Source organism: Homo sapiens, chromosome 5, assembly GCF_000001405.40.
Source record: "Homo sapiens chromosome 5, GRCh38.p14 Primary Assembly".
Lineage (NCBI taxonomy): Eukaryota > Metazoa > Chordata > Mammalia > Primates > Hominidae > Homo > Homo sapiens.
In genome coordinates, this window is record NC_000005.10 from 55,294,609 (window position 1) to 55,306,801 (window position 12,193).

A 12,193-nucleotide genomic window follows, 5' to 3' on the forward strand; every position below is an offset into this window, starting at 1 on the left:
AGCTTGCAGTGAGCCGAGTGAGTGCAGTGCCATTCACTCCAGCCTGGGCAACAGAGCAAGACTCTGTCTCAAAAAAACAACAACAAAAAAACTAGTGTTATTCCTTAAAAACAGTGGTTTTATGAGGATTATTTTTTCGTAGACGTTTTACAATATGCAGAGTATTTAAGTGTAATGCCCTAATGAATTACAGTCCCATTATTCACACTCATCTGTAATTTTCTTCCACAGACTCTGGGCTTGGTCATGTGACTTACTTCAGTCAATGGGACATTAGCAAGAATAATAAAGCAGGAGTTTGATAAGAATTTGTACATTTTGGCTTATCATCTTAAAATATTCTTGGAAGCCAGATGCAATAAGAAGTCCAGCCACCCTAAGACCACTATATGTGAGGAAACCCAAGCTAGTCATGTGGAAAAAACATGTAAACAGAGGGATGCCTGGCTAGTCTCCAGCTTAGTCATGGGAGTGAAGAAGCCACTTTGGATGTTCCAGCCTTGGAAGATACTTCCTGGAACCGAAGAAACACCTTGCTGAGCCCAGCACAGACTGCAGAATCATGAGAAATAATAGTTGGTTTAAGCCACTACATTTTGGAGTGGTTTGTTATATAACTAAAACAAGCAATGATAGAAAAGTCTAGCAAACCAATTAGTTATTTGTAAGAAGTAAAAATGTTATAGAAACCTAATATTTATACTCTTTGAACTGTTACATGTGCTCCATTCTGATTTTATACAACTTTAAATGCTTAATTCTCAAATTACCTTACTCTTAGGGTCCTCTTCATATGTTTTTGTTTTAGGTTGCAATGGAGGTGAAATAGTGGCTTGTATTTGAGGAGACTGAAATTTAGGCCTACTTTTAGGTTGCTGCTCTTCAAATTCCTGACTGAATCCTTCAGGAAGTGCATCTTAAAATAAAAGAAACTATGCTGAAAATAAACAGGCATATGATACATAAAACACACAAATATTTGTTAAGCATTTGTAAACCTTGCCTAGACTTAGAGCACCTAATTTTCTTCTATTCCCTCATCTCCTAAGAATAGAAATCTTAAGATGAACCTGGTTTTATCCGTCAACCTAGAAGTGAACGTACTCATCAGATGATAGCTAGCCCTCTTGTATTTGGCCATTATTTCACCCTCAATGTTAGGCTCCTAAATTGTCATAAGATCTTAATCCTTCCCACTCTTTGGCTTTCTGTCACAGCATGTGGTAGTATCCTTAGTCACCACAAGCCATTTGCACTCCAGATTCTTGCCAAAGATTACAATCATGATCCTCTGCTTAATAAAATACTATATATTCAAGGACAGTCCTAATTTCTAAATGAAAAGCCAGGAGACATAGCTTACTGAGAGGCAAACCTTGTATTAAGGACATAGCAAAATAACAATCAACAACTGAACACAAAACATAATATTTTCTTGCATAGGCCACAATCTCTAAGGAAAATATCCTGAAAAGAACAGAAGGTAAGAACACTTTAAAAGTAAATAATTATGACAGTGAAAAAATATGAGTATGAGCCAAAAGGTTGATACAAATACCAAAACTACTTCAAAAGGTTTAGAAACTGAAAGAATTTAATGATATTGTTTACCATCTGAAAGGTTTAAACAGAGCCAATCCAAGGCAGAATGAAGGTCACCTCCATATAAGAGTGTATTGGTCATGGCATCTTCAATGTCCTTTGTCTTAAATGAAAATGCTTGTAAAGCCATGTATAAATCCTATGACAAGCAAATATAAAAAAAGTCACATTTGTCAAAGTTCCCTTCCTGTGTTACTAATTATCCCATTCATTTTAAACCAGAAACTTTGACACAAATTATAATTTCAAAACTATCTTTTTTTTCCCAGTTAAAAATGAAATGTGTTTACTGAATTAAGAATTTGGAAACCAGAGATCTTTAAAAAAGAGAACCAGGAGAAATTATCCATATTCTCACTATCCAAAGATACTAAATGTAGTACATTTTTTTCAGTCATTTTTCCATAATTTTGTAAAAAGAGATTTCACTTAACATTATAACATAAGCACCTTCCCAAGTTAGTAGAAACTCTGCACCATCACTTTGAATAGTTACATAATATTCCACTGGGTGGACATATCCTGATTTAATTTTATATTTTTCTATGGCTGAACACTTAGGACATATTTTTTTTTTATTACAAGCTGTGCTTCAGTGAACATCTTTATAGATAAAGATAAAGCATTTTAACATACTTTCTAAAGCATAATCATTATGGTTAGGCAGAGCTGGGTTCAAATCCAGACCCTGTTTACTAGTAACCTTAGGGTATAATTTATGGCATCTTTGCAAGCCTCAATTCTTTCACTTGAAAAAATGGGGCCAAATACATTTACTTCATAGGACTGTTGTGTCAGAGAAAATGTAAACAAAGTGCCCAGCACAGAATCTAACATAGTAGGTGCTCAATAATATAATTCTGGGGATATACCTTAATTTTCATATCACCATTTTAATGTGTGCACTTGTACCTTCTTGATTTAAGGTGTGCACAATTCTTTCTCTATTCTTAGAGATGGAAATGATCTACATAAAATCTCAATGGAAGTTGTAAAGCCATTTTTATCTCACATGAGGAGCTGTCTAAAAATGCTTCACTAAAACTAAGGAACTTTAAAAAGTTTGCAAAATACCTGCAATTTTTTGGCAGTAAGTCTTCCAGAAATCATTCCTTTGTCATTATTTTGCTTTTTATGCTCATTGATCACTCCAATAATTCTTTGCTCTAGTTTGTTATTAATTACCACCTGTTGAGGCCAAAAAGGTCATATCATTTAGAAGCTAAATTATTAAAAAATTAAAAGCCAATCATACAGTTTTCTATATTCCTGCCAACCAAGCCCAAAATTTCAGCTAAAATCAGATACAGTAATTATCATTTTTTGGACTACCACCCATTTGACCACATTCCTATCATTTCTTTAAGAAAAAATGTGATATGAAAAAAGCAACAAGATAACACATGGCAAGAAAAAGCCTCTTGAGGGCAATGTCACGAGACATTGTCCTTGGACCACCCTTGGGTTGCTGTCACAAAGATTCCTAAGTTCTATCCCAAACATACTGAATCAGAATTCTTGGAGGGATTTAATGTAAACCACTGCAAGCACACAACCTAAAAGAATGAACACTATACTAAAAACGGGTATAACAAGTAAAACTGAAAACTAAATATGTCGTAATAAGCTACACAAATTCTTTTGGCTTCTAGACTTTGATTCCTACTTTTTCCTACTAGCCATTTTATTTTCTGTTCTTTTGTTATTTTTGACCTAAGAGTACACAAGCATCTACTTACAAAAATATCTTCCCTTTGTTACTTTTTAACTAAATGCCTACTATAAACTAAGCACAAAAATATAATTCAGAAATTCACAGTCTAGCCCAGAAAATATATATAAAGAGACAAATTATAACCCAGCATGGCAATTCTCAAAAAAGATATATCAAGTAATAGTAGAACCACCAAGAAAATCAACTTGGCGGTTGATAAAGGACTTCATAGAGGTCACAGAGGTGACAAATAAAAAGGGGAAATAAGGGCACTCTACGCAGAGAGTACATGGGTAAAAGCTAGAAGTTGTAAAATCACGGATTTAGAAGAACAAATGAGATATTCATGAGATGTCCCATGAACTAAAATATTAAGTAGAGATCAGAGTAGCAGAGAGGAGGGTGAAACGGTATTCTAAGACAGACCTGAAAAAATGTATATGCCATGCTTAAGAAGTTTAGATCTTAACCAGGCCTTCCTTCATTTCTTACTGTCTCTCAACATATGTGTATGATTTACTTATTTTTAGTAGAGATTAGCTCTTAGAGTACTATTTACAAAAATTTAAAACACCCCATCATTTTCTTACATTTAAGGATACATCTTTTTTGGGGGAAAAAAGGGGGAAACATTTCTTGAAATGACTCAAAACCTTTGTTACTTACTTTCAAAATAGATTTATCCAGATTTGCAGGACCACTAGAATCATTTGTAGAATTAAAACTATAAATTTTTGGACCTGTAAATACAAATAGACAAGGCAATTTAATGATTAATATCTATTACATTATTTTAATTTTCCTCTAAAGAATGCTAAATATTAGGCCGGGCGCGGTGGCTCACGCCTGTAATCCCAGCACTTTGGGAGGCCGAGGCGGGTGGATCATGAGGTCAGGAGATCGAGACCATCCTGGCTAACAAGGTGAAACCCCGTCTCTACTAAAAATACAAAAAATTAGCCGGGCGCGGTGGCGGGCGCCTGTAGTCCCAGCTACTCGGGAGGCTGAGGCAGGAGAATGGCGTGAACCCGGGAAGCGGAGCTTGCAGTGAGCCGAGATTGCGCCACTGCAGTCCGCAGTCCGGCCTGGGCGACAGAGCGAGACTCCGTCTCAAAAAAAAAAAAAAAAAAAAAAAGAATGCTAAATATTAAATATTTGATTTCAGCTTTTTTCCCCAATACTTCACCAAATAACTCAATCTAGTAGCTAGCAATATCCTCTCTAAATTTTCAACATTTTACCAATTAGCATTACTCCATGTTAACCAGTTTCTCATAAAATGCAAATGCCTACATATCTTTTAGGTTAAATCTATCTTTATCCTCATATCTTTTAGTCAGATGCTTTTCTCCTGGCACTTAGCTGAGGCAAAACTTCTAAGATATGATTGTTGGCAGAGTAGATGGACAATTTTAAAGAGAAAGCACTCTTTCTTGAAGGTGGTATGCTAAGTGAAAAGGGAGGTGGGAGTTCCTATCATCTTTTCTCCTTGAACTCAAGTCCAGGGTTGCTATAGTTTCCTAGGGCTGCCATAACAAATTACCACAAACTTGATGGCTGAATACAGCAGAAATTTATTCTCTCACAATTCTGGAAGCTAGAACTCCAAAATCATGGTGTGAGCAGGACCATGCTCTCTCTGAAGGCTCTAGGTAAGAATCGTTCCTTCCCCCTTCCAGCTTCTGGTGGCAGCATAACACCAGTCTCTGCCTCCTCATTCACACGGCCTTCTTCCCTTTCTCTGTGTCCAAATGTCCCTCTCCTTTCTCTTGACATTCATTATTGGATTTAGGAATCACCCTAAATCTAGTATAATTTCATCTCAAGATCCACAGATCTGTAGAGCTTATTTCCAAACAAGGTCACATTCTGAGGTTCCAGGTGGACATGAATATTTGGGGGGACACTACTCACTCAACCCACTACAGTTGCCAAGTCTGTTCCAGTGAACAGAAACGCTGTCTAGTCTCAGTCCTTTAACAATGAGTAACCAGGAAACAACACACATTATTTTCAAACTTTTGGTCTCATGACCCCTTACTCTCTTAAAAATTACTGAGGATCCAAATAGTTTTTGTTTATGTGGGTTATGTCTATTGATACTTAGTATATTATAAATTAAAAGGGAAATTTTAAAACATTCATTCACCAAAAATAATAAATCTGGCCAGGCGCAGTGGCTCATGCCTGTAATCCCAGCACTTTGGGAGGCTGAGGTAGGAGGATCTCTTGAGCCCAGGAGTTTGAGAGCAGTCTGGGCAATATAGTGAGACTTTGCCTCTACAAAAATTATCCAGCTGTGGTAGCACATGTCTGAAGTCCCAGGTACTCAAGAGGCTGAGGCAGGAAAACTGCTTGAACCCAGGAGTTCAAGGCTGCAGTAGTAGCTACAGTGAGCTGTGACTGCAACACTGCACTCCAGCCTGGGCAACAGAGTGAGACCCTGTCTCTAATAATAATAATAATAGGCCAGGTGTGGTGGCTCATGCCTGTAATCCCAGCACTTGGGACGCGGAGGCGGGCAGATCACATGAGGTCAGGAGTTTGAGACCAGCCTGGCCAATATGGCAAAACCCCATTTCTAGTAAAAATACAAAAATTAGCTGGGCCTGGTGATGCATGCCTGTAATCCCAGCTACTTGGGAAGCTGAGGCAGGAGAACTGCTTTAACCCAGGAGGCAGAGGTTGCAGTGAGCCGAGACTGCACCACTGCACTCTGGCCTGGGAGACAGAGCGAGACTCTGTCTCAAAAAAACAAAAGGACCTCAACAAAATAATAAAAATAAACCTGTTCCATTAATATAAATGATGCTTAAGATGAAATGTGACTATATTTTTCAAGACAAAAAATAATATCCGTTTTTGCAAATCTCTTTAATATCTGGTATCTTAGTCTGCTCAGACTGCCACAACAAAATACCACAGACTGCTGGATGGCTTCACCATCAGAAATTTATTTCTCATAGTTCTGGAGGTTGGGAAGTCCAAGATTAGGGTACCAGCAAGGGAGGTTTCATTCTGAGGCCTCTTCTCTTGGCATGTAGGTGGCCATCATCTTGCTATATGTTCACATGGCTTTTTTCTCTGTGCTTACTCAGAGAAACTGAGCTCTCTTGGGTATCTCATTTTATAAGGACACTAATCCTGTTGGATCAGGGCCCCATCCCTGTGATCTCATTTAACCTTATGTACTTCCTTAGAGCCCTTATCTCCAAATATAGCCACACTGGGGGTAAGGGTCTCAACATACTAATTTTTTGAGGACACAAACATTCAGTTCGTAACATCTAGCTTCTGCATTCAATCTGCCGTAACATTACACATCATGTAGCCAACTGGACAACCTCACTGCATAATCATGAGAAAATGAGCGTGAAAAATGGCAAAAACATCTCAGAATTATTATGAAAAGTTTTCACTTCATGGAGCCCTTGGCAAACAAGTCTCAGGTTCCTTAGGACCTCCTGAGCACACTTTGAGAAACACTGCTGTATAAGAATGATCCCAGGCCAGGCGTGGTGGCTCACGCCTGTAATCCCAACACTTTGGGAGGCCAAGGCAGGTGGATCACCTGAGGTCAGGAGTTCAAGACCAGCCTGACCAACATGGAGAAACCCCATCTCTACTAAAAATACAAAATTAGCCAGGCGTGGTGGTGCATGCCTGTAATCCCAGCTACTCGGGAGGCTGAGGCAGGAGAATCGCTTGAACTCAGAAGGCGGAGGTTGCAGTGAGCCGAGATTTCGCCATTGCACTCCAGCCTGGGCAACAAGAGTGAAACTCCATCTCAAAAAAAAAAAAAAAAAAAAAAACAAGAATGATTCCAGAATCATAAATCTAGTTGCATGGTTTTTATACACCTTAAAATAAGAAGTATTTTTTCTACTTTGAGACATTTAAACATTAAATGTTCTTATGATTTTAAAGTCAAAGACTTTGCTCTCTGCTGGGTTACATTAGGTTCTTCATTTTAAGATGGTAGCTAATATAATTAGATATTTTAAAAGAACAAAAGTTTTTGAGAATAACTACTTGAAATTAACTTGTACATCTGGGCAGTCTGAAAGAGAAACATTTGTGGTTCTCTGTCAATTACTGCTATGCTATAGTTATATCGGAGGTACCCAAAGCTACATGGCATATGTAAAAAGATAATAACAAGTCTGGTATAGTATTGTTAGTTTCCTTATCGTCTAGTCTCAAACTTTACCTTAATTCTAGTAATCTCTCCTATAAATTCATGTCAATGGTCATAAAGGAGAGTATATATTTAGTAGTCTTTAACTATTTCTGGGGAGTCTTATCAATTATAGTAAGCTTGTGCACAAATTTAGCATGCAGTTTTAGAGGTCCCCAAACACATCAAGAGGCCCCAGCTATAACCCTTTTAAAAAGTTACAGATAGATGAGCAGTACATTACCAAGACTACATGGAGAAACAGTTCAAAGTTCATATGCTACTGACAAGAGTAAGACTGTAAATTCCTTTAAAAATGCCAGCCGGGGCAACATGGTGAAACCCCATCTCTACAAAAAATACAAAATATTAGCTAGGTGTGGTGGCTTGTGCCTGTAATCCCAGCTACTTGGGAGGCTGAGATGGGAGGATTGCTTGAGCCTGGGAGGCAGAGATTGTAGTGAGCCACTGGGCGACAGAGTGACCCTATCAAAAAAAAAAAAAAAAAAAACTGGTTGGTTTTTAATTTACCCAGTTGAAAAGATTAAAGTAAAATTCTCATTTGTCTCCTCCAAACATTTCACCTAAGAGTTTCAACTGTATCACTTCCTTGAAGTTGGCTTATACTGCAAACTTCCAGAGGGTAAACAAAAGAGCTGAGTTTCTGAAAAATGATCAGAGAAATCAAGGAATCCTGCTCAACATTCACTGGGCCACGTTCACTTTTGCCAAGTAAAGTGCATAAGATTTATGACAGCTACTTTCCTTATTGCCTGGAGACTTTTACAATTTTTGGTTTTGTGTTTAAGATGGTGGAAGTTACTGGAAATCTGACTGGAAGTAAGGATGTTAGTATGCAATATCTCCAAGGCAAAGTATTATGAATTCCAAATTTATAAATGAAAGGTCATGGAACGATGCAACATATATAGCTGGCTCTCAAAAATATTTATTACATTAAAGTTGAAGCACAGACAAACTGATTTCCTCAAAATGACTCAGCTAATTAAAAAAAAAAAATCAACCAGAATCAGTTTCTTATTGCCCAATAATCTTTTCTTTTGCTACATATTCTTTTTATACTGTATTTTAAAGGAAAAAGCAATGCTAATGACCCACTATGACTAAGACATTGACTTTGAGTTGTTAGCACTCTGATTCCCTTCTGATCGACAGTGTGTACATCTGCAGAATGGTTAATCAGGCAAGGGACCCAAACAGGGACTCTGGTGGTAAACAGACCCAGTGCCTGTCCTCATGGAGCTTATATTCTGGAACAGTAATATAATTAGTAAGCAACTAATACTCAGATGAGTAATAAAGGGGAAGTGCAGAGTGCCAAGAAAATAGATGAGGGTGAATTGATGTAGTCTGAGCAATTAAGGCCTGTGAGGAAGTACACACTGCCAGGGCCGCCTGACTAATTATTTTGAAATGTAAACCAGCTAAAGTTTCTCCTCTACTTAATACCAACACCGGCCCCCACTTCCCATTGAACTTGCTCTGGCTCCTTCCCAGACTTCCAGCCACATTTTAACTTTTTCTTTCTTCGCTCCAGCCACACAGCACTATCTTCTTACAACATGTCAAACTTGTTTCCACCTTAGGGTTTTTAGGCTTGTTTTTCCCTCTGCCACAAATACTCTGCAGATCATCTCAGTTTAAATGTTTTCTAAGGGAAGCTATTCCTATTTCAAACCAAAATAGACCCTCCATTCTCCATTTAATGTTTACCAAGTCACTATTTTCTGTTCCTCATAGCACTTTTTCTATTTTAGTGACCCTAAAAAAAAATTTATAATGGCTTTCATAAATTTATGACATCCATTCCCAATTCTTATTCCCCTCTTAAAATTTTAAGCCTCAACTAGGTTCAAGGATTTTCAGAAACACAAGCCTCTTGGTTGGAAGAGAAAACTTAAATTACTGAACCTCTTATTTTGGTCTCAGTCATAACATGATAAAGCAGCTTAATTATACTTAGGCTAAGGAAGTGGCACTTCTAAAGCACAGGAATGGAAAGAAGAAAGAAAAGAAAAGAAAGGCAAAGAGAAGGACAGTAAAAGAAAGATGGGGAAAGGTCTTGCTATTTCTAGAACACTCCAGGCTTGCATCTCAAGGCCTTTCTGTTCCCTCTCCCCAGGAGACTCTTTACCCAGTCATCTGTGTAACTACTTTACCTGCCTCCTTTGCTTGCTCAAATGTCACTTTTTTTTTTTTTTTTTTTTTTGAGACCGAGTCTTGCTGTCACCCAGGCTGGAGTGCAGTGGCACAATCTCAGCTCACTGCAAGCTCCGCCTCCCGGGTTCACGCCATTCTCCTGCCTCAGCCTCTCCGAGTAGCTGGGACTACAGGCGCTCGCCACTATGCCCAGCTAATTTTTTATATTTTTAGTAGAGACGGGGTTTCACCGTGGTCTCAATCTCCTGACCTCGTGATCCGCCTGCCTCGGCCTCCCAAAGTGCTGGGATTACAAGCGTGAGCCACTGCGCCTAGCCACCTTCTTATATGATGCCTTCCTTCCCTGACCATCCTATTTAATACTGAACCTCTCCCCACCCTCCTCCCTATTCGGCCTCTTCAGAAATTCTTTCATGAGCAAATGAAATTAAAAAAAAAACAAGACTGGTATTACTTGTTGTGCAAGCCATTTGGTGATTCTGAACCTCTACGATAGAGGACAATTTTGACCAGCTGTGCCGTCAAATTGGAAAGATAAGGAGGGACGGAAGTAGAGTAGAACCATTACATCTACATTAGGAACTACACAGAGTTGAGCATTTTTCCACTTTTTTCTCCAAAATAGGTTTATTGTACGTTATACTATATATTAAAAGCACCCTAAAATAAACCCAAAAGTTATGTGCAAATTTAGTAGATAACCTCTAGTTTTTTTCTCTTGATTTCTTGGTCTTAATAATTCCTTTGAACTTTCCTTACCAGTTATCCAAGTAATTTTCTTCATGACAATATGCACAGCACTAGAGTAGATACTGGGGAAATGTTAACACATATCCATAAAACTGTTCCTACCTCCTGTAATTTTGTTGGATATATAAAACATATAATTCTTTACATATCATAAGGCAAGAACTAACTATCAAAAAGAATGATTTAAACAACTATGATACGTCAGTTGTGAATAGCAGGAAGAATTCAAAAGGAAGTTGTTATCTGAAATGGGTATTTTAAGGTTTTGGTAGATGATGTTAGGGACAGATTGCACTCCATGAAGAAAAACATGGCAAGAATAAATACGAGGAAGGAGAAAGCTAAGAGCTCCATTTGGAGAAATGAAAACACACCAGACTTGCTATAGTTGAATAGAGGAATTATTAAAAGGTTAGAAAGAGGGTTTTAGAAGCTAGCTAAATGATTTGGATTTTATTGCAAAGTCAGTGAGGATGCCATGGAAGAAAATAGGAAGTGTTACGACCAAAGCAGCATTTCTGGAAGATCAGTCTGATGTTGATATGCAAGACCAACTGGAGGAAGCAAAATGAGCACAGCTGTGGAGCCCTATTAAAAGACTTCGTTGCTACTCCAGGAATTCACAGGTACCAAGACTAGGATGTGAACTACACAAATGCAAAGTGAAATATGGAAAAACAGAAACAAGGAAGTCGAAGAAAAAGTTAGTTTGGGGAAAGAAGAGTGGTTTAGTACTAGCCCTGTTAAATTTGAGATGCTTGCAAAAAATAGGGTCAGAGAATCCAGCAAAATGTATAAATTGCCAACTTGAGCTTGGAAGAGAGGCCATCTACAAAGGAAAAGATAGAAGTAATGGAAATAGATGAACACTCCTAGAAGGGCTTTAGGAGTGAACTATACTGTCAAGGATTGACACCTTGAGAAAGGGTCACAGTTTGGGGCTGGAGGAAAGGGAATTCAAAGAATACAACAAATGACTATCGGTTCAAATTCAGAGGAATGTCAGTAAAAGACAAAGGAAAAGTAAAAAAGAGGCTGATCCACAGAATAAAACTGCCATAGTTGTCAGGGAGAAATTCTATGTATTTGTAATTACAAGTATGCTAACTCTGTAGCTAACACTACAATAAATCGCAGGGCAAAGAACTGTTTCCACCTTCTAGGTAAAGGTCTGGTACCTGCCTACTTTTTCAGTCTCATCTCATTTCATCCTTTGGCGATGCTTTATGTTCTGTGAATTCCTCAAGAGCCCCAAGCTCTTTCCTGACTCAAACTTTTTACACATGATGTTCATTACGCCCGCCTGGAATACTAATTTCTGCCATGCTTCACAGAGTTAACTCCTTTTTCATTCTCCTCATCTCAGCTTAACTGTTACATTTCCAGACACCATCCATGATACCTGCTCATCCCGAGAAAAATTAGATTACCCTGTTAAACTGTCTTCCCTGGCTTTTCTTTGTGGCACTTATCTATTATAAGGCTATAAATATGTCTGTGTGCGTTACCTATTAGTTAATACCTATCTCTGACATTAGACTGGCAAGCTCCATGAGGTGATGTCTCTTTTTGCTCATCACATTCCTCACATCTTATCAGACACATACTAAATATTTGCATATATACACATAAATGCTCAGCAAATATTTCTTGAATACTCCAATAAGTACAAGCAAACAACCCGAGAAGAACACAACAGAATGTAATTGTTCATCTTTTGAGCTCAACCGTAATATGTGGCCTGCTCATCTGCAGCAGGAATCGGCCAT

At 38.1% G+C, this 12,193-nt stretch overlaps 1 protein-coding gene and 1 long non-coding RNA gene across 7 annotated transcripts in view; one reads left to right on the forward strand and one right to left on the reverse strand.

Annotated features, from left to right (window-relative positions):
* CCNO-DT (CCNO divergent transcript) overlaps positions 1-694 on the forward strand; it is a 61,409-nt gene extending 60,715 nt beyond the window's left edge. The window contains exon 5 of the long non-coding RNA NR_185977.1: positions 232-694. This is a non-coding gene — a long non-coding RNA (CCNO divergent transcript). The remainder of the gene's footprint in view (positions 1-231) is intronic.
* Positions 1-12,193, reverse strand: part of DHX29 (DExH-box helicase 29) — a 51,640-nt gene that overhangs the window by 38,554 nt on the left and 893 nt on the right. For all 6 annotated transcript variants that reach the window (NR_144325.2, NR_144323.2, NR_144324.2 and 3 more), the window contains exons 2-5: positions 3,983-4,056; positions 2,677-2,790; positions 1,612-1,741; positions 771-916 (exon numbers count right to left, since the gene is read on the reverse strand). Coding sequence is in view for 2 of the 6 variants with exons in the window: in NM_001345964.2 (NP_001332893.1) it covers positions 771-916; positions 1,612-1,741; positions 2,677-2,790; positions 3,983-4,056 (464 nt within the window). In the remaining 4 variants the exon portion in view is untranslated. The remainder of the gene's footprint in view (positions 1-770; positions 917-1,611; positions 1,742-2,676; positions 2,791-3,982; positions 4,057-12,193) is intronic.